The sequence below is a fragment of the Homo sapiens genome, chromosome 5 (assembly GCF_000001405.40).
Source record: "Homo sapiens chromosome 5, GRCh38.p14 Primary Assembly".
Classification (NCBI taxonomy): Eukaryota; Metazoa; Chordata; class Mammalia; order Primates; family Hominidae; genus Homo; species Homo sapiens.
This window is the reverse complement of record NC_000005.10, coordinates 14105743-14127821: the sequence shown is the minus strand read 5'-3', so window position 1 is coordinate 14127821 and position 22079 is coordinate 14105743. Positions and strand designations below refer to the sequence as shown.

General features: G+C 43.7%; 6 annotated features.

The window, feature by feature from the left end:
- Positions 1871 to 2372: an enhancer, noted in NCBI's record as "H3K4me1 hESC enhancer chr5:14125559-14126060 (GRCh37/hg19 assembly coordinates)". NCBI's record gives its function as "activates a minimal SCP1, AML or CMV promoter by ChIP-STARR-seq in primed H9 embryonic stem cells {active_cell/tissue: H9 hESC(primed)}" and the evidence as "EXISTENCE:reporter gene assay evidence [ECO:0000049][PMID:30033119]".
- Positions 8184 to 8739: an enhancer, noted in NCBI's record as "H3K27ac-H3K4me1 hESC enhancer chr5:14119192-14119747 (GRCh37/hg19 assembly coordinates)". NCBI's record gives its function as "activates a minimal SCP1, AML or CMV promoter by ChIP-STARR-seq in naive H9 embryonic stem cells {active_cell/tissue: H9 hESC(naive)}" and the evidence as "EXISTENCE:reporter gene assay evidence [ECO:0000049][PMID:30033119]".
- Positions 8740 to 9296: an enhancer, noted in NCBI's record as "H3K27ac-H3K4me1 hESC enhancer chr5:14118635-14119191 (GRCh37/hg19 assembly coordinates)". NCBI's record gives its function as "activates a minimal SCP1, AML or CMV promoter by ChIP-STARR-seq in naive H9 embryonic stem cells {active_cell/tissue: H9 hESC(naive)}" and the evidence as "EXISTENCE:reporter gene assay evidence [ECO:0000049][PMID:30033119]".
- Positions 17865 to 19064: an enhancer, noted in NCBI's record as "CDK7 strongly-dependent group 2 enhancer chr5:14108867-14110066 (GRCh37/hg19 assembly coordinates)". NCBI's record gives its function as "activates an origin of replication core promoter dependent on BRD2, BRD4, P300/CBP, MED14 and CDK7 cofactors, with strong dependence on CDK7, by STARR-seq in HCT116 cells {active_cell/tissue: HCT116}" and the evidence as "EXISTENCE:reporter gene assay evidence [ECO:0000049][PMID:35650434]".
- Positions 18292 to 18351: an enhancer, noted in NCBI's record as "active region_22386". NCBI's record gives its function as "activates an Ori minimal core promoter by ATAC-STARR-seq in GM12878 lymphoblastoid cells {active_cell/tissue: GM12878}" and the evidence as "EXISTENCE:reporter gene assay evidence [ECO:0000049][PMID:35858748]".
- Positions 20978 to 21047: a silencer, noted in NCBI's record as "silent region_15933". NCBI's record gives its function as "represses an Ori minimal core promoter by ATAC-STARR-seq in GM12878 lymphoblastoid cells {active_cell/tissue: GM12878}" and the evidence as "EXISTENCE:reporter gene assay evidence [ECO:0000049][PMID:35858748]".

The following is a 22079-nucleotide window of genomic DNA, read 5'->3' as shown; positions in this document are numbered from 1 at the left end:
CAGTGAAAGGTGATATTCATGACCATGTGACGTCATTTGTCTCCACAGGTGCCTGAGACTAGGGAAATCTGGGGAGAATCTCTCATGGAGGTGGGATAGAGGGTATCTGTCTCTCAGGGAAGGGCTGTTCCTCTGGGCCTTCCCCATGCTGCAGGTGCACCCTAACCATCCCTCCTTTGACCTCAAGCCCAAGGAACTTCCCAAAGGACAGGTTGGATTGTGCCACTCTTCTCAAAAACCTTTGATTCATTTCTTGCCCTTTAAAATGATCATGGCTAGGCGTGATGGCTCACGCCTGTAATCCCAGCACTTTGGGAGGCTGAGATGGGAGGATCACTTGAGGTCAGGAGTTCAAAACCAGCCTGACAAACATGGTGAAACCCATCTCTACTAAGAATACAAAAATTAGCCGGGCATGGTGGCAGGTGCCTGTAATCCCAGCTACTTGGGAGGCTGAAGCAGGAGAATCACTTGAACCCAGGAGGCGGAGGTTGCAGTGAGCCAAGATCATGCCCAACCTGGGCAACAGAGCAACACTCCATCTCAAAAAATAAATAAAATAAAATAAAATAAAATAAAATAAAATGATCTTCATACTCCTCAGTGTGGGCATGAAAGATCCTCCTGGCTAATGCCCTGTACCTCAGAATCTCTTGAGGACCTTTATTTGAAGCCTGCTTCAAGCAGAATGGCTGAGGTTGTCCCCAGGGACCCTACAGTTGTAAGGATTTGAGTCACACCTGGTGTAGGATCTGGGCAGAAACATCCCTTGAATGCCCTGACCCAGGCAGGTGGGGACCTCATCCACTTACATATATAGGGCCTGTGGGGACAGCCAAGGAGCACCCCAGTCCCACAGTCTTCCACCAATGCTGTGCCCACCATGGGGCCTTTGTTCTTGATGGTCTGAGATGAGCACCCCTCCCTCCCCAACTCCATGCAAGTTTTCTCATTACTCTATTCAGAATCACTTTCCGTTATAATCTAATCAGATTTTTAAGTGACCGACTTTCCCACTAGCTATTTGAGAACTGGGTCTAGCCCATTTATTTTTTATGCCCTTTACTGTATCTGGCATAATACTTTGCAGAGTTAGTAAATGTTCAATAAAAGTCTGTTGAAATTGCAAAATCTGGTTTTTCTCATTTATTTTTAAGTAGGAATGTTAGTCGAGTGATTGCTTCCCTCAAGATGGCTTACACTTTTCCTCCAATTATTTTCCTCCAATTATGCAACAGAATGTCTTAAATAGGTTTCCCACATGAGCAGGCACAGGAGTTTAGAGCCATGGGAACCACACCAGTGGGGAGTGCATCTCTGCAAGCCACAGGCCTTTCCTAACGTTCCCCTCCGAAGAGAAAGGAAAGAGCAAAGTCAAATCTACCAAACCAAGACTTTGTAGCGGTTGCGCTTCATCCAGCTGAACCAGTCCGCTTGTCTAAGCATCTCTTTTCTTTGTCTCTGGTGATTGCCTCCGAACCAGCAGCCAAAAATATAGGATGGGGGAAAACCTGACCCAGAGAGCAAAACCGGAGCATTACAGCCTTTGGAGGGAAAAAGCCTTCTGCTGTAGTTGCATCTGTTGTTTTCTGTCTGTCTGTGAAAGGTCAAGATTTATCAGGCATCAGCTCAATTGATCAACAGATACTCATTGAGCCCTATGTGCTAGGGACTATGTTAATGATTTTCTGCAGTGGATCGTAATCCCCATTTCAGTAGTATTTATCTCTTTAAACATTTGTGCCTATCGTAAAAAACTTCTTTGTCGGGCGCAGTGGCTCACACCTGTAATCCCAGCACTTTGGGAGGTCGAGGCGGGCGGATCACCTGAGGTCAGGAGTTTGAGGCCAGCCTGGCCAACATGGTGAAACCCTGTCTCTACTAAAAATACAAAAATTAGCCAGGCATGGTAGCGGGCACCTGAAATCCCAGCTAATTGGGAGGATGAGGCAGGAGAATTGCTTGAACCTGGGAGGCAGAGTTTGCCGTGAGCTGAGATAGCACCACTGCGCTCCAGCCTGGGCGACAAGAGTGAGACTCCGTCTCAAAAAAAAAATAAAAAAATTAAAAAAAAAAAAGAAAAAATAAAAAGAAAAAAACTTCTTCAAGGTCAGTGAGGAATCGCCTTACTTACATGAAATGCAGCTTCTATGTCAGTAAGGTGATTTACTTACCTAGTGATTTACATGGTTTCAAGGAATGTGGCTTGCAGGGATGCACAGCCACATCGTGTGGTTCCCATGGCTCTAAACCTCTTTAATGCCTACAGTGATGGGTTCTGCTGGTGCTCACCAGTGCCCATTTTTCTCCTCTTCAAAGGCCCACAGACTACAATTCCCATATTTCCTTGCAGTCAGGTGGGGCCATGTGACTATATTCTGTTCCTTGTGATATGTACACCCATGTGTGAGCCTCTATTCTCCTTCCCCATCCACATCAGCCTTGAAGCCCAGATGAACTAGCTTGGAGCTGCAAGATGGAACACAGCTACCCATCCTGCAATAGACATGACATGAGTAAAATAGACTTTTACTTTTGTTAAGCCACTGAAATTTGGGGGTCTGTTTGTCAGCACAGTGTTTTGATTAGCACATGGTCTTTCTTTAATTTAGTGGGGGGTTTGGTTTGCTTGTTTGTTTGTTTGGTTTAAATTCTTTCTAAAGGCTCAGTGTCCTCCTTGTCTCTTTTTTTTTTTTGAGATGGAGTTTCACTCTGTTGCCCAGGCTGGAGTGCAATGGCACGATCTCGGCTCACCACAACCTCTGCCTCCCGGGTTCAAGCGATTCTCCTGCCTCAGCCTCCCGAGTAGCTGGGATTACAGGCATGCACCACCATGCCCAGCTAATTTTGTATTTTCAGGAGAGATGGGGATTCTCCATGTTAGTCAGGCTGGTCTCGAACTCCCAATCTCAGGTGATCCACCCACTTCGGCCTCCTAAAGTGCCGGAATTATAGGAGTGAGCCACCATGCCCGGCCTCCTTCTCCATTTTTTTTGAGTGTGATGCAATGAATCATCTTGAGTAGAAACTCACATGCTTAGGCCCCACTGCTGTCTCTCAACTCTCCTCCAACATTCTGTGAACTGACCCCGGGTCGTTTCCTTGTTAGTCTACTGGCCCCAGGTCCCACAAAACACATTTTCATGGCTTTATTTCATGTGTCTTTCCCTAGGAAGTTAATCAGTACCTTATTTCAGCTCCTCAAGCCTGGATTACCCTAACATATGCTAATGAAATGAAATTAAACTTTGCAGACGGTAGCTCTAACCCCTTGGAGTAGTTGTCATAACAGCATTTCTTGTGAGCGCTCTATGGCCTGGTTGTCTCTATGCCTCGCCTCCCATTCTCTCTCTAGCCTGCTGCAGTCTGGCTTCTCCCACTACCACTCCAGGGAGTTTACTACCAGCAGCATCAACTAACAGACACTCTCCAGTCCTTGATTTTCTTGTGTGGATGGGAGAGGTGAGAGAGACGCTTGTTCTCTAATCCCAGTGTCTCTTCTTCCATGTGGGTTGAATTACCCGATTGGTGGCTTTGGGAGGAGGAACTGGGCAGGTACAGTCTTGCCTCTCCCTCTTTTCCTCTTGGGAGCAGCTGCTGTGGGGAGCTGGCATTCTGCCCTTCTCTTCCTCCAGGCCCCCCAGTGAGGAGGCCTTGCAGGGTTCCAGCACTACCTGTGCCTCAGCAAGGAAGGAGTCCAGGTTTCACAACTGGAGAGTTCGTTACTGCCGCATACCTCCACCATAGTCTTCGTGATCAATTTCATCAGTAATGAAGGGGTGGCCAGTTCTCCAATGGCCTACTCCTGTATTTATCTCATAATCAGATCAGAGTGCAATTAGGGAAACCGGAAAGATTTGTGGAGCCCCCACAAACTTCAGTATGGTTTACCAACCTCCTTTCTCTTGGCTTGTGACGCTAAACCTTGGTTTTCTTCCTAACATTCCCTAGTCTTCAGAGATGTTTGTCTCCTCTCCCTACAACCATTCCTTACATCGCAGTGCTTCTTGTAGTTCTAGTAATTCTAGACACCATCTCTTCTCACTGTTAAAAGAAATTTGTAGGAGATTCCATCCATGCCTAGGATTTCTTTTTCCATATAGATGCTAGTGACCCTCGGCCTGCATCTTTAAGGCAGGAATCACTCCTGACCTTCAGACACACATGGTAGCTGCTTAGTGGACAACTGAAACAAAACTCGAATCAATGTATCCAAAACTGAATTTTTTTTTGTCATCCTTCCCCACTCCTTTCCCCCCAAAACCTCCATTTCAATGAATGCCATGGTCATCCACCCAGACTTCTGGCCACCATCCCACCCCCTCCCTCAGCTATACCTCCTACATCCAGTCCATCATGTAATTCTCTTGATTTTACCACTTGAATATATTTATTTGATCTGTTTAAATCTTTCCATCCCCACATATTACCGTCACTTTCACCTGAGTTACTACAACACTCAAAAGTGTTACTCTTCCCTTCGAGTTAGCCCTCCAATTTCTTCACCATGCTCCTATGATTGTGATCTTTCCTAGGTGCTTTTTTTTTTATCCCGATTAGAGTCCCTCAGTAACTCCTTACTGATAGTCTTGATCTTCAATGTAGCCGACAACATCAGGTCCACATTTTCCTTTTTTTTGGAAATGGAATCTCACTCCATCACCCAGGCTGGAGTGCAGTGGTGCAATCTCAGCTCACTGAAACCTCCACCTCCTGGGTTCGAGTGATTCTCCTGCCTCAGTCTCCCAAGTAGCTGGGATTACAGGAGCATGCCACCAAGCCCAGTTAATTTTTTTTTTTTTTGAGATGGAGTCTTGCTCTTGTCGCCCAGGCTGCAGTGCAATGGTGCAGTCTTGGCTCACTGCAACCTCTCCCTCCCGAGTTCAAGCGATTCTCCTGCCTCAGCCTCCTGAGTAGCTGGGAATACAGACGCCTGCCACAACACCTGGCTAATTTTTTTATTTTTAGCAGAGACAGGATTTCACTATGTTGGCCAGACTGGTCTTGAACTCCTGACCTCAGGTGATCACCCACCTCGGCCTCCCAAAGTGCTGGGATTACAGGTGTGAGCCACCGTGCTCAGCCAATTTTTGTATTTTTTAGTGGACATGGGGTTTCACCAGGTTGGCCAGGCTGGGCTCGAACTGCTGACATCAGGTGATCCGCTTGCCTTGGCCTCCCAAAGTGCTGGGATTACAGGCATGAGCCACTGGGCCCGGCCCCCAACGCTTTCCATCACACCAAACTATTTACACTCTGGCCCTTTATGCATGTGTTTTCCTCTGTAGCCCCCATGCCCTTCACAACCGAGTTACAGGAGACTTTCTCCTGAAGCTCCCCTCATCCCTTAAATTGTGTACAATAAGTTTCGTAGATGTGCGGATAGAGTCCTGTATTTAACTCTACCCTGCTCCCATCACAATGTATTATAACGTCGTCTGCACTTGTGCTTATCTCTTCACAGGACTGTATATTTGTGGTGGACTCTGTGTTGCACCATCCCCAAGCCTCCCTTCATGAAAGATTTGTTGCTGCAGCTGCCAGGAGCACTATAACCTTCAGCTGTCACCCTCCTCAGGAATGACCTCATTCTGCCCAAGGTCATGCCCACTCCTGGGGTACCCATATACAGATTGATTTGAGAGTATAAAGGCCTGGCCATCTCAGCCAAACTCAGGATGATTCTGATAGGCAATTCCAAGTCTGCCTTGGAGCTGACAAATATCTTAAGATCTTTCATGTTACTAAAAGATGAACAGATGGACGGGGCCATTCACTCCTATGTTAAAGGTCACTCTCTCTGGAATCGTAATACATGAAGATAGAAATGAAGAAACTAGTTGTATTGCAACAATCATAATGGGACACTTAAATTAGGTAAATTGAACCTGCACTAAGCTATACCCTTGTGAGATAATAGAAACCTGTTCTATTTCACAGCATGCTAGTTTCAGAGCAAGGAAAGAGTTTCTGCTCAGTGTTGTTTTGCCTTGTGTCTGTGACTGGTCTAGGGCCAGCTTACATCTATTTCATTTAGAGACTCTAATGGACTTTGGTGAACTGACAGCCTTTTTCCCCCCAGAGATCTGTAGGTAATGATTATACCCAGAACACTATAATTTAATGATATAACAGATGTTGGCATATTAAAGAGTAATAATCTGATTTGAATTCAGGTCTTTGTCAAAAGTAATAAAGGATGTGCATGGTGGCTCACACCTGCAATCCCAGTGCTTTGGGAGGCTGAGATGGGATGACGAGGTCAGGAGTTCAAGACAAGCCTAGGCAACATAATGAGAACCCATCTCTTTAATAATAATAATAATAATAATAATAACTGGGTGTGGTGGTGCATGCCTGTAGTCCTAGCTACTTGGGAAGCCCCTTAAGGTCAGGAGTTGTAGGTTACATGAGCTATGGTCATCACACCACTGCACACTCTGGCCTAGGCAACAGAGCAAGACCACATCTCTAAAAAATAAAAATAAAAAAGCATATAGGTAATGTTTCTCAGGACAGAGAGGAAGCTTCGTGTCTCAGTGTACCGGGGCATGGTTTCACCTTCTTCACAGTTCTCTCATTGAAGATATAGTCTGAGTATTTCCTATCTGAAGTAAATACTTTTGGTGGCAATATGACAATATGTCTGATTATTGTCAAAAGAAGAAATATGGTAGAAATGCAGAACTTTCAGGAAAAAAAAACTACAATTAACAAATTGTGATAGAGGCCTATTTAGCTGTTACTGGTCACTGTCACTTGGTAATCTTGTTGCAGACATGGGAAAAATTTTCACTTCCAAGATAGAGCATAAAACATGTAACACTGAGCTTGGCACTTCTGTATGAGCATTATTTCTTCCATACCTTCTTTGGTCAAAGAACACCAACACGGTTGAGACTTAATGCCTGTTGAAAACAGCCTAATACAGGAGGGGAAATTTTCCAACAAGCCCCTCATTGGAAGATCCAGTTCTCGATGGATTTTTTTTTTTTTTTTTGAGAAGGAGTCTCACTCTTTTGTCCAGGCTAGAGTTTAGTGGTGCAATCTTAGCTCATTGCAACCTCCACTTCCGGGTTCAAGCAATCCCCCTGCCTCAGCCTCCCAAGGAGCTGGGACTACAGCTGCGCACCACCACGTCCAGCTAGGTTTTTTTGTATTTTTAGTAGAGACAGGGTTTTGCCACGTTGGCCAGTCTGGTCTTGAACTCCTGGCCTCAAGTGATCCACCCACATTGAGCTCCCAAAGTGTTAGGATTACAGGTGTGAGCCACTGCACCCAGGATTCTTAATGGATTTGAAGGACCTTGGGGTCTTGGCTCCATCTTGATATATAATAATGGCCGCATGGTAAACTGTTGGGGCTGCATTTCCCACAAGTGACCTCTTGAGGATGCCTTGGCAGAACACTGCCCTGGCAACCACAGGCACTGGGCACGTCCCAACCTCCACTGTTGTCTGGGCCCTCCCTGGATGGGGATATGCACAGGGACAGGGCTCAGGTGTGGCAGTCTCTGTGAACTGTCTGGTGCTCCCACAGGCGGGCTGGTGCCAGGTTGGCCCCTGAAGCTGCCCATCTTGGCTTCGAGTGCTGGGAGGGTTGTGGTGGGAGGAAAGAAGAGCACTTAGGAGGCTCTGGAGCAGGAGCCATTTGCTGTGATTTCACCAGACCGTGATTTCTAGATATCAGCTGCATGTCAAGGCACCTTCTGAGACTCTTCCATGCTAAATGTCATTGTGGTTTTGCAGTTTGCTATATTCTGAATGCCCAGCTCTGACCCAAACCCTTCACAGCACACACCAGCCCATTGCTGTGGCCACAAGGAAGCCAGCTTTAGTGTGCCTCCTTCCCCATAGGGTGGTCTTCAGCTTACAGATTAGACTCTCTTATCACAAGGTCCTTTGAGGGTTTCTTTAGCCAATTTCCTTAAAGGAGGTGTTAAGATATGTTAGTCTCAGAATTCTACCCATGGTGGTATAGAAAAGCTTTGTGTGTTAGTGTTTGTTTTAACATTATTTCCCTTGTCTCTTTTTAGGGGGTGCTTTTTAAGGAATCACCCTCTCCGTCAACCCAGAGTGAAAACACAAAACATTAGGCTGAAGCCACCAAGCGAGAGGTCATTCCCAGTTTTAATCCTGCGAGTGCTAACTGGACCATCCTTGATGCCAACATGCAGGCGTGACCCTCTGTCCTGGCGGCCCACTCCAGGGACCATTCCTCTTGTCATGTGAAGGTTTTTGATGTGTTGCAGAAACTGCTCAGGGAAAGCTGTAGACGGCAGCTTGGAGATTCTTTTTCTCTTCTAACATACCTGTGATACCCATTTCTCTCCACCAAATGCTTGCTCTCTTCATCCAAACTGCTCTGCATGTTGATGTCAAATATCTGACAAAGAAAATGATAAGGTGTCCAGCTAGAAAGCGTGTGCTCAATTTTGAACAGTTCACAGACTTTTAAAATGTGTTCCTCTTTTTCTAGGCCTTACAAGAGGGAAGATAAAGAAGTCAGACTCTCTGCTTATTCATCCAGTCTGGGAGTGTGTGCAGGTGGCTGTTGGAAAGTTTTCACTACAATTTACTACAGTTTCCAGGGAGTTTCAGACCCATGAGTGTGGGACGTGCAGTAAATGCCAACACCAGGCAGAGAGAAGCCACAGACAGCTAATGGCCCATTGTCTGTGCCTGTCGCGTGGTCTCCTAGGACCAGGCCCTCTCTGGAGGGAGCCCTGGCTCTTGGCAGCAGCGCCTCAGCTGCTCCGTCAGCCACTGGCAGCCATTCTGGGGACACAGGCACTTCTGTGTCCCTTCCCTCCTGCTAACTCTGCCACGGGCTAAGCGACCGACCCCGGAATCAGCAGCAGCTTTCAACTTGAGTTTTTGTGATGGAACAATAGTTAACTATGGCTTTCAAAGGAACTCGGAGGCAGCTCCTTTCACAGTGGGATTTCCTTCCTTGTGGGTTTTCCCAGCTGTCTTTGTCTTGGGTCATGTCTAACAGATGTCGGAGGCCTTGGAGAGCCTTCCAAAAAACCAGTGACAACTAGACCTGGGGGGCCTTCCGGGAAAAGTGCCTCAAGGGCCCTTCAGGGGTCAGCTGAAGCCATGGCAGGAATGACATTGGCAAATCACAAGACACCACTCGCCTCTCCCACCTCCCTTATGTCCTTTGCCTCCAAGGGTTGCTGTGGAATGCTCTAGGGGAGATTTAGGAGATTGCTTCGATGATGCTCTCGGGTGGAGATAAAAATCAAATTCCAGGAATCCTTCTTTTAGAGCCCGCCTGGTAAGCTTAGAAAGAACTCCTCAAACATGGAAAACACGAAACTGCAGACTATTGGTGTTTTGGAATCAATCTGATAAAACCTGCTATATCCAGATCAGAGTCATCCTTCAAAAGGGTTCCTGGGAGTCAGTGTACTCATTCCAATTATGGTTTCACTGCCTCATACATAATTGAAACTCCCCTTTTGGAATTGTTTTCTGAATTAGTCAATTCAACAATTAATAGTGAAAAGGTTGCCAACAAACCAAAGGGCTAATAATAGAGAATGAGTAAAGAATGTCATATTCTATGGTCATTAGAATATTCTTTGCAAAAACTGTGGGACTAAGATAAAACATGAAGTTGGAAAGAAATACATGAGTATACATAAATGCTTTCTAATTTAGAAAAAAATATAAAGTAGACACAAAGATTAGACGGGACGAAGATACCCCCAAAGGCTAACAGTAGCTTTGGAAAGCCAGTAGAATTATAGGTAATTAATTTACTTTCTTCCATTTTGCAGGTTTTGGTAGTGTGATTATTTACCCATGTAATGAAAAAATGTGTAATTTTTAAGAAGTCTTCTGAAAATTATTGCCTGGGAAAAATAGGCAATAATTTTCTCCTTTAATAGGTCTAGGAGAAAATCAGTCTTATCAATTCATAATTGCAACTTACTTTGGGTGAAAATTGCTATTATGGAATTAATTGCATCTTCTCTGACTTTTGGCTATTTCTAAAAGCCAGATCTCCTTTAGAAACTGGTGAAATTTGCCACCACTGAATATTTCCATGAGGGCATATGCATTTTTGCCTTTTGTTCAGGGATATATTCCCAGGTCCTAGCATGGTGCTGGACATATAGTTGGACTCAATAAATAATTGCTGAGTGGATGAACAGGCTGTAGATGGTATAAGGGGCTAGGATGCAGAACAGAGAATGGAGACCATAGAGTGAAAATGCCAGTCAGAGAATGAAATCCTCAGACAGGTTTAGCAGGTAACAACTGTGATGCACACCACAGGGCTCCCCAGATCCTCCCAGGTTCCCCCCCAACACCTGCCACTCTTCGTGGAGGACTGCCCTTGGACTCTGGGAACTTATTTGTCTGTCAATGAAGAGCAGGGAGTACTAAGGGATTCTTTCCTCCAGGTAGCCCCACACTCCTGAGATACCCTGTGGGATTAGGGTGAAGCTGCCCCTCCTGGGACTTTGCCTAAAATCACACCTTTCCTTGTCTCAGAGTCTGCCTTTGAGAAACATGACCCAAGACAACAATACTGTTATTATTTATTTATTTATTTATTTTTGTGATGGAGTTTCACTCTTGTCGCCCAGGCTGGAGTGCAATGGCATGATCTCGGCTCACTGCAACCTCCGCCTCCCAGGTTCAAGTGATTCTTTTGCCTCAGCCTCCCGAGTAGCTGGAATTATAGGTGCCCGCCTCCATGCCTGGTTAATTTCTGTATTTTTAGTAGAGACGGGGTTTCCCCATGTTGGCCAGGCTGGTCTCAAACTCCTGACCTCAAGTGATCCACCCACCTTGGCTTCCCAAAGTGTTGGGATTACAGGCGTGAGCCACCATGCCCAGCCGACAATAATACTTTTAGCAACAGGAAGGCATAGCATTTATGGTCTGTGTTCTGTGCATCAGGCACAGTTGTGATGCGTTAGTGAATTATTTCGGGGGGTGCTCTCAAGGACCCATGGAAGAGGGGCCATTATTATCCCCATTTGCACTTGAGGAAATGGAGGCACAAAGCTTCTAAATAACTGGGCTTTATACATTTAAATACTAGTCCCACCTTGCATGGGACATTTCTGCTCATCTTCCATTGTGATGGAAAATTTTATGTGTCAGCTTGGCCAGGTAAAGGGATACCCACAAAACTGATAGAATATGGGTGTGTCAGCCTGGCGCGGTGGCTCACACCTGTAATCCCAGCACTTTGGGAGGCCGAGGCGGGCGGATCATGAGGTCAGGAGATCGAGACCATCCTGGCTAACATGGTGAAACCCCGTCTCTACTAAAGATACAAAAAATTAGCCGGGCATGGTGTTGGGCGCCTGTAGTCCCAGCTACTTGGGAGGCTGAGGCAGGAGAATGGCATGAACCTGGGAGGCAGAGCTTGTAGTGAGCCGAGATGGCGCCACTGCACTCCAGCCTAAGGGACAGAGCAAGACTCCATCTCAAAAAAAAAAAAAAAAAAAAAAAAGAATATGGGTGTGTCCCTGAGGTGTTTCTGGAAGAGATCAGCATTCGAATCAGTCAACAGAGTAAGGCAGATCATCCTCACCAATGCAGATGGCATTATTCAATCTGCTGAGGGCCCTGAAGGAACAAAATGTCACAGACAGGATAATTAATCTACTTTTTTGTATTTTCTGTCCTTCTGGAGCTGGCACCTCCATCTTCTCTGGTTTTCAGACTTTGGATTCCTGGTTTTCAGGCCTTCAGACTCACCCTGAATCCCACCCCTGGCTCTCCTGGTTCTCCAGCTTGAGGATGGCAGGCTGTGGGACTTCTAGACCTCCATAATTATGCGAGCCAATTCCCGCAGTCAATCCCCTCTTATTTGTCTATTCTTGTCCTATTGGTTCTGTTTTTCTGGAGAACCCTCACTGACAAGTCCATGAAGGGACTGGAACTCCTCTTGGGGTCCTTTCTACTGGTGGAAAAGACCAACCCAGAGGGTGGAATGGGTTAGGAGCCCCATGAGGAGCATGGGGGAGTTGCCCAGCCTAGTGTGGACAGAGCAAAATCGAAACTGTCCTCATAGGCTTAGCAAGAATTCTGGACAGAAATAGGGTTGTAATTAAGCATTAGTCAGGCCGCACTGTGGCCCACTTCCTTGTCACTGAGCCATGTAGCGCTAGATACTGATCACCTGCATCCCTGCTGTTCTTCTAGATAGGATTTCTGATGTTAGACTCATAAGGCGTTTGTTTAAGAATTGCCTAAGATGTTTTCCATATCCTGAATTCTGGCAAAAACAACTTACATCACCCAGTTTGAGGACCCCCACAAAGGAATGGAATCAGCATGAGAATAGTTTCTCCACTCTCGGTCCCATGACTTCACCCCCGCAACTCTTGAACCAATTAATGATCCTCACACTTCAGCCCACTCCAAAACCCTTAGAAATCCTAGCCCCAAACTGCTTGGGGGAGACAGATTTGAGGTCTCTTCCCATCTCCTCCTTTGGCAGCCCTACGATTAAACCTCTTTCTCTGCTGTAGCCCAGTGTCTCGGCGTATTGATTTACCCTGCACATCAGGCAATGAACCTATTACAGTTACAAAAGCAGAATCAGGAAGGGTCAGCAAGAAAAGTCCCCACATTTGTGAATGGGAGCAAAAGAAGCAGCATTTAAAAGAGAGCCCAAGGTCTGGCTGCTGAAAACATGCTGGGGAGAAGATGGGAAAGCCTGGCTCCTCCTGCAGAAGCTACATTCTGGTCTTTGTGGACAGCCATGGGCCCACCTCCAGGGAACATCTCTTTTGGTCTTTAAGGAGCCAGAATTGGAGGAAACATGTGACATGTGATGCCTATTTCCTTTGATAAGATTATTTTGCTGGTAGAAGTGAGATCATTTAACTTGAATTGAGTTATGTTCAAACATTCTTTTGGCTTAACACTCAGACTTTATCCAGTACATTTTGGTTGAGTTAAGGAGTGGATGAATGTGAATGAAGACAGTTCCCTGAGGGTGAGTGAGATCTTTATCAGCCCAGGCTATCAGAGGAAATGACAGTAGGATGAGAATGGTATTCCTGGAGGTTCAATCCACTTTCATGCGTATTCATGGAACACTCGTTGTGTGGAGGTGTTGGGCTGAGTTATGCAGGCAGTGGATGCGAAGGCACAGGGAGGGAAGTAAGAGAGATAAGCCCAAATAGGACTGTGACTCCAAGTAGAAAAGGTGAAATTTGGGACAGGCGGCAGGCAAGAGTTACAGGGGCTCAAAGAAGAGTGAAGTCACACTCATTTAGCAGGGACATTCATTAGGAAAGGCGATCCAGAGGAATTTGAGTTTGCCATGAAATAAGTAATATTTCAATGGAAGAGGATGTGGGAGTGAAATCCAGTTAGGATGGGAGGATGTGGACATCAAGAAAACTGAATAGGTTGGTGTGGTGGCTCACGCCTGTAATCCCAGCACTTTGGGAGACTGAAGTGGGCAGATCACAAGGTCAAGAGATTGAGACCATCCTGGCCAACGTGAAACCCTGTCTCTACTAAAAATACAAAAATTAGCTGGGCATGGTGGCGCATGCCTGTAGCCCCAGCTACTCGGGAGCCTGAGGCGGGAGAATTGCTTGAACGCTGGAGGCAGAGATTGCAGTGAGCCGAGCTCACACCATTGCACTCCAGCCTGGTGACAGAGCGAGACTCTGTCTCAAACAAAACAAAACAAAACAAAACAAAACAAAACAAAACAAAACAAAAACAGAAAAGAGAATAAGGCTAGGGTGAGAAGTCTAACATGATTGGCACGTGAGTGCTAAAGAGAGGTAGCTGTGGACTTAAAAAAATGTTTTCATTATCGTGATGAATTTGAACTGATCTGTTTTTATATTTTTGCCTGGTCCTCTTTGAGAGGCTGGAACTGGCTGGAAGTACAAGTAACTGTCGCGAATGTAAATAAAACAGTGGCAGCTTCACCCATGCCCTGGACCCCATGAACTCTCTTATCAATGAGCTAAAATACCTGTTTGAATTAGAATAGCCTTGGAAGGTATTAAAGGATATGAGTTAATAACAGTTCGGGCCCCAAATGTAACCATGCCAACAGTTAAAAACATAAACTGAACATTGTTCTGTGCCCAATTAAACACAGAATAACAGTGTGGAAATGGAAATTTATCCGCAACCGGGTAGCTTATAAGTTGCAGTTTAATTACGAAGCTGAGTGTGGCAGGTCATATTTTCCAAAGATGGCTGCAACAACATCTCCCATCCCACATCCTTTTCAGGAAGATGACCTTCCCACTCACCCATCAGGAGGGGGAATTTATTTCTCCACACCCTGGAATCTGGGTGGGCCAATGGTTGCTTTGATAAATAGGATGCAGTGGAAATATCATTGTAACAGTTCTGAGCCACGCCTTCACTGGCCTGGCAGCTTCTGCTTCCTGAACTTTGAAACATCCGCTCCTGGGATGTTCCACTGGAGTGAACCACCCTGTGTGAGAAGCTTAAGCCACAGGGAGAGGCTCACGTAGGTTAACAGCCCTTCATGAGCCTGCAGGCCATGTGAATGGGCCTTATAGGACATCCAGCTCAGTTGAGCCTTCAGATGACTTCAGTCTTAGCTGACCTGATATCAGGCTGCAACCACATGGGAGGCTTTGTGCAAGAACCACTTAGCTGAGCCCAGCCAACCTCCAGAACCATGGGAGATAATAACAACAAGTTGTTGTTTAAGCTGTTAAGTTTGCACTCCACAGTAGATACCTGGAATACCAAGATCAGAAGTTGGGTTGTAGGCCAGGGATAGCTGTGAATGCAGGCCCACGGCCATGAAGGGGATGGGGCAGTGAAGTGTGAGTGGTCAGGGGCATCTAACCCCATGACTGGCAAGACACTCTAGTGTGAACACCCACAGTGCGGGAGTGGGTGAGAGGATGTAAGCCTGGATTCTGGCAGTCGCTAAAGACTGTTTTCTCAATAGCAAAGTGAAAATAAATCCTCATAGGGTGGTTATGAGGATTAAATGAGATAGTGCGAATGAAAACACTTTATAAGCCTTTGTTGGAAGGTATCATAATGATTTCTGGCAGATGGTTGAATGTTAATGATGTTAGTATCTGAAGATCGCACATCCTACAAAGCTTTATTATGAATGTATTTCTCCTTGGATGGTCTGCTGCTCATTGCAACCCCAAAAACAATTCTTACAACATAGATCCCTTGTGCCTGGGAGTACCGTAAAGTTTTCTATATCCATTCACTCATTCGTTTCTTCATTCATTGAATAATTACTTGAGTGCCTATTACATGCCAAATAGTGTTTTAGGCACTCAGCGTAGAGCAGTGAACAAAATACAAATCGTCCTTCCCTTCTGGAGTCTGTAGTCTAGATCTTCTAATCATAGTGTTTATAGTATGATGCTGCTTGTTATGAACTATTGGGGCAGTATGGTGTGGTAGTTAATGGTATATGTTTGGGGGTGAGGAGGGGGTCAGATAGACCTGAATTTACATCCTGATTCCACTGCTAACCAACGTGAGACTTTGGCAAGTCACTTAAGCTTTCTGTACCTCTGTTTCTTCATCTGTCCAATAAGCATAATAATAATAACAACAACCTACTTCAGAGGCTTGTTATGAGGATTGAATGAGTTAATACAGTGGTCCCCAACCTTTTGGGCACCAGGGACCAGTTTCGTGGAAGATAATTTTTCCGAGGTGCCAGGTGGGGTGGGGGAGATGGTTTTTGGGATGAAACTGTTTCACCTTAGATCGTCAGGCATTAGATTCTCATAAGGAGCACACAACCTAGCTTCCTTACTTGCACAGTTCACAATAGGGTTCATGCTCCTATGAGAATCTAATGCCACCGCTGATCTGACAGGAGGCAGAGCTCAGGCAGTAATGCTCACTCACCACTGCTCACCTCCTGCTGTGCAGCCTGGTTCGTAACAGGCCACAGACCACTACTGAGTTACTACATGTAGAGGACTTGAAAAAAGGACTTGGAACAATGACCGCCTAGAGAAATCTGTGTCACAACAAATGTTATGTATCATTACCAATGTTAAAAATGTTGTTTATCATTATTACCAATGTTATTCTTTTATTTCAATGAGAAATAATTTTCCTATATTAATTCTTGTTTTATGATCAATAGCACATATTCTATTCTATTCTATTCTTTTGTGGTAACTTTTCCCTTCTTTTCTTTATAGCTTCTTTCTTTCTTCCCTTCTTTTTTTTTGTGCTGTGGAAAGAAGCATTACAGATGGTTCATGACATTCATTTATCTGCCAAAGTGATCCATGGGTTGGAAGTTTGAGAAATCTAGTTTAAATTAGCCCTTAATAAAATTGTAATACCATAGATTGTATTAAAGATTGTTTAACCAATATTTGAATCTAAAATAACATTTTTACTTGTATCCCTGAGGATGTAACTCCAAGAAGGTTGAAGGTAAGCAGAAATTCTGTGAAAGTGGGTGAGCTGGGACCAGAGGATCCGGAGGACCCTATTCACACTGTCTTCTAAGTGAGAGTGTCTCATGGCCCACGATATAAGAAGGGTCTTCCAGAGTTACATAACGTGCAGGACTTGGTGAACCTGTCTTAGAAAGTCAAGGAAAACAGTACTGACTATGCTTGCTCAAGAATCAAAGACAGTTTTAGAGAAAGTAGAGTCCTAAAACCTATTGAGTTGGCTGTATCAGTGAATAAATAATGAAAAACTCAAGTAAGAGACCTCCTATTAGGTAAAAGAAATCCCAAATTAGGCAATTCTGGGTGGGCATGACATCAACTTGGTCATCAGGTGTGTAGGTTCTTTTTGTCTTTCTTCTACCCCCCTCAGAGTGTGGCTTTTTTTCTCAAGGTCTATCTCAAGATACAAAATGGCTGCTGGAACGCCAGCCATCATGTCCACATTTCAGGCAGGAAGAAGAAGACGTGGGTGGAACCATAAAAGAGCTCACCTCATAGCTGAGTCAGCCCTCTTTTAGGAACTTTTCCAGAGGCCCTATCCAACAAGTTCCACTTACATCTCATTGACCACTTTGGAGTTGAGAAATTGTTGCATTCCTAGGATATCGTGCTTTTTTGAGACAGGCTAGGCTGAAGCCTCTGTGATGACTTTGACTGCTTCGGGGGTGCTGCAGTGAATGCTCTGTGTTGGCTGAGACTTTGCCCCTAAGTTCCTTTGAAGTCAAAACCCATCAAATATAATATAAAATATCTGAAGTACTTAATTATAATGACACTTCAAGTCTTGCAAGTAGGGAATCTTTCTCTGATTTCAAATAAGAATCATAAATATTTAAAGAGTCTTTGTCTGCTTCTCCTTCCTCTCTAATTCCCTCCCACCCATCCTCCTACCTCATCCCAAACCTGAATTCCTGGATTAATTTTTAATAGTGATAGTTCCGGGAAGAGAATCTTAGCTTCTGTATTTTTTCTTTTGAAGTTGCTCTATTCCCTGTTAGGTTGCCTCACACATTCCACTCCTGGAATATCAGATGATGTTCTACGAGGGTTGTTTGTATGAATTTTATGTCAGGAAGCCAGAAAAGTTACTGCTGCCTCGGAATGAGCACAGGACTTTTGAGTTTAGATCCTAAGTCGGATCACTTTATTTATTTAATTAGAATTAAATGTATTCCCAACAAGTTTTTAGCTAATGTACAAAATTAAGCATAATTAAAAATAAAAATGTTAGGGCTAAAAATCCCAGTCGCTAGATAGATTTTAACAGGGAATTATCTTTCTTTCTCTGACTTATCAAAAGGAAATCACAGTGATGCTTCTTCAGAATAATACTGTGTCGAAATGTCATGACCACTTGCCAAGTGCTTTGAGATCTACCATGAAAAGCGTTACAAACCTCAAGTGTCATTGTTATTAAGCACTGTCATTCTAACACGGCTTTTAGCATTTCCGTCCTATCTCTAATGCAATGGGAGCTGTAGGTGTTATCTTTAGATTCAAGGGACAAGTAACTGACTAATATAATAACACACTCTTGTTGCATACTCCACCCAATAAATAATTGCGGGAGAGATGTATAGGATGTGTGCTAACACATGCAATATTCACCGTGGATGGATTTTGCTTTCTTCCTTGAAGATTCTTCTTACAAGGACTTGTTTAAAAGGTGTCAATGTGGCGGCTGTACGAAGCTTCAAGTCTGGATGGCTGCTTAGAGAGGCTTTCTTCAAGTTGACCTGGTGTTTGCATTGCCTTCTTAGTACATCTCTAAAGGAACTGGGCACAAAAACGATCCTTTTAAGATATCATCTCTTGCTGACACTGCCAAGGAAGTGCAATGAATAGTGTTTGTAGATGAAGATCATCCAAGACGTAACAGATCCAAACACTGGACTCTAGTCTCTGCTTCATCACTAACTGGCTGTGGTCTCTTGAGAAAGCCACTTTGATCTCTCAAGATTTTAGTTTTCTCATTTATGAAATTGAATGATCTCTTCCAGCGTCATTAATTTTTAAGCTTACGAAGCCCTGAGCTTTACTAATTCTCTGTGAAATCTATCTGCCCCTGTGTGAGAACGGGCGGGGCTACCATTTTGTTCCCTGTGGTGTGACACAGTTTGTTTCATGATGACTGTTCACTTTTGGTTTGTGATCAGCATGACTCAATGATTAACATTGAGTCAAATCAAATCCCATGGTATCTTAAACTTAGTACATAAAAAATGATTGCCATTTGGTAGACCATTACAAAACATTTTTAAAACCTAAATGGTGCTGAGAAGTGGGTGGAGATGGAAGAGAAGTAGGCAGTACAGATGTTTTTCTTTTGAACTAATCTCTGCATCTGGAGGGCAAGACGTCCAGCTTTCCATTACTAGTTCCTGATTCAACAACACAGATTTAACATTCAATCTGTGAATAGATTTTTATGGATTAAAAAAAAATGAGGATGCAAATAGAGTGAGGTCCTTAGAGATTAAAAATGGTCATATGGTTTTGTCTTTGTTATTTGGGCTTAAATTACCGTGCTTTGGTGAGCAGAGATTACTCAGTTTGTAATCAGAGGAAGGAGTTAGCTGAACTCTTGTTTATTTCTTTAACCTAGAAGACGTTTTCGTAAACACGTGGCTTCTTTAAAATCTCCTGGGCTTCAGAAAGGCCTCGGATTTAGTGGAAGACTTATGGGCACTCCTCCCCCTACTGGGCACGATCTGCAACTGCTTATTTTATGGTCCCTGCTGACCAAGGTGGCGGATGGTGGTGGGGGCGGCGGTGGGGAGCCCTGGTAAAAGAAATCTTGAAACTGTAACTCTCGTTCAGGAGTTGGGGAAAATAAAGATAGGGGTGTGTGCGCGTGTGCGTGTGTGTTTTCTACCAGACTGGAATAATATAACAGATAAAAGGATGGAAGTTAGCAAAGAAGAATTTAACTGAAGGAGAAGTGTTACGTAGGAAAAATCACGAGACTGCAGTTGGAAAACTAGGTTGGAGCTCCTCGTGGAAGAGTTTGCATGACAAACTACAAAGCAGGGAGCCACTGAAGCTACTTTGGAATACGGGAATTCACCTGTTTTTTACGTACTCAGCTGCCGTGCATTGAGCCCTTCCCACAAGCCAGCCGTTTGCTAAGTGCTGTGGATCAGCAAAGCTAAAATTCACTTGGATCCTGACTTCAAGCAGCTTAGCGTCTAGCAGTTGATATTAGATATGTATATAAGTAACCATAACACAAAATAGAAAGTGGTGTATCGTGTGAAGTAAAAACTGGGAAGCAAGAGGGATTGCTTCCTGCAGGGGATGAGAGCAAAACGTAATAGAAGATTTTCAGGTGAAGGGAAGGTTGATCTTGGCAGTAAGGATGTATTGAAGACTTGAGCAAGAGAAGCCACTTAGAAGCTACCAAGGTTTTTTGTATATCATCTTATATTGAACATATGCAATTTTATAATGTAACAATTTAGATTGCTTATATGTATGGAATAATACGTAGAATGCATGTGGATAAACAAATTGTGGTGTATTCATACAATGGAATACCAATTTATGGCCATAAAAAGGAACAAACTACTGACTCGTGCAACAACGTGGATGAATGTTCCCCCACGTTATCGTGAGTAAGAGAAACTGGAGGCGAAAGAGGAAAGCCTGTATGTTTCTGTTTATAGGATGAAGTTCTTAGAAATCAGATCGGGGTTGACTAGGGTGTGGTGGTGGGGTGTTGATTGACTGAAAATGTGCACAGGAAACTATCTAAGGAGATATTCTATGTTTTAAATGGGGCATTGGTTACATGGATATTTGACGGAATTTATCCACTTCCTCTTAAAATTTGTGAATTTTGTTGTGTACATTGTAGCACAGTAAAGTTTACTTAAAAATTAGGAAATGATAAAGCATAAGAAGTAAGTATGGTCAGCAAGGTCCTTAATTTGCAATCGATCATTTCTAAACTATGTTAATTCATGAACTATGTTAAAATAGTTTAGTAAATATACTCACTCAAATAAAGAATTGTGTTTTTATGCACAGCAAAACAAAAAGAGATATGGTGGATAAACTGAGTCGGTTTCACATATTTCCTGAAGGAGTGAATGGAGAGAAGGAAATATATGAAACATATAAAGAAATAAATGACAATTGGAGAATTTACTAGAATTGGTGAGATACATGGTTCCCCAGATACAGAAAGTACAATAAGCACCAACTAGATAAATAACAATGTTTATCTCCATTTGTAGATTTAATCTTCCACAGAAAAATAAGAAACAGTGGGAATTTCAGTGGAAATAAAAAAAACTGATGAAACTAGAGAACTAGAGACAATTGAGTGGTAATGTGAAGATATGTGAAGATTGATCAATAGTTTCTCCAGTCAAAACTTTCAAATGCTTCCTGAATATGCCCAGATTTTATTATTCATGGTACTTTTATTAGAAAATCAGAGTCAGGTTTTCTTTGGTTTTGGCTGGGTGCAGAGGCTCACACCTGTAATCCCAGCACTTTAAGAGACTGAGGCAGGTGGATCACCTGAGGTCAGGAGCTCAAGACCAGCCTGACCCACATGGTGAAACCCCGTCTCTACTAAAAATACAAAAATTAGCCAGGCATGGCGGTGCGTCCCTGTAGTCCCAGCTATTTGGGTGGTTGAGGCAGGAGAATCTCTTGAACCTGGGAGGCAGAGGCTGCAGTGAGCTTAGATTGGGCCATTGCACTCCAGCTGGGGCAACAGAGTGAGACTCTGTACCCTCCCCCCAAAAAAAAGAAGAAAAAGAAAAGCAGAATTAGGTTTTTTCTGGTCTCTAAAAAAAGTCACTTTTTCAAATGAAGCTTGAAATAGACTGGAAATTGTAAAGCGAGTTTTAGTAGGTCTGAAGAGCAGTTTGATTTTCCATGTGGGTGAAAATTGAAAGGATATTCCTTGATAGGCAACATTTCCTACAAAATCTTGCTATAGAAATAGATACAGTGGGAGACTTTGTTTTCTTCTGTATAGGAAACATATAGATGGTAAACATTCTATAAACTAGGAAAGTTGTTATGAAAATGAAATTGTGATAAAAGATCACAAGTAGATTTGAAGCTGCTTAAGAATAGAATAGGGAACCTTGCCATGGGTTGATGGTAATGGAAATACTTTGCTTTGGACATCTGATTTTATTATTCTATAATCATTTGCATAATATCTGCTTAAGCCATGCATTCATGTGTGTTGCACTCAGATTTAAGGGATAATTTTGTTTGCTATAAATAGACAAGAAAGGAGAATAGGAAGAGATGAAGAAAAAAAAGGCAGAACAATAAAGTCAGGGACACAGTATCTTCTCTTATGCCTGCCTGTGTCTGCATCCTTGTCTTTATTTTGTCCTGCCGTTGGCAGGCAGCCCAGAGACCACAGGTTCAGTTATTAAGCAAATTCCTTACCAATGACTCTGAGAAGGGATTTTGGTTGTGTCTAATCTGGAAGAAATGTGGTAATTTCCATCCAACTGTCAAAGCTCTGCTGAGGTTAGGGTGCCCATCAAGGCCATTCAACATTCTAAAAGGGAATCTCTTGCCTCCTTTTCTCTAAAACAATAAGAGTTTCAGGGCACAATCTGCCTTTTTTTTTCTTTTTTTTTTTTTTTTTTTGAGATGGTGT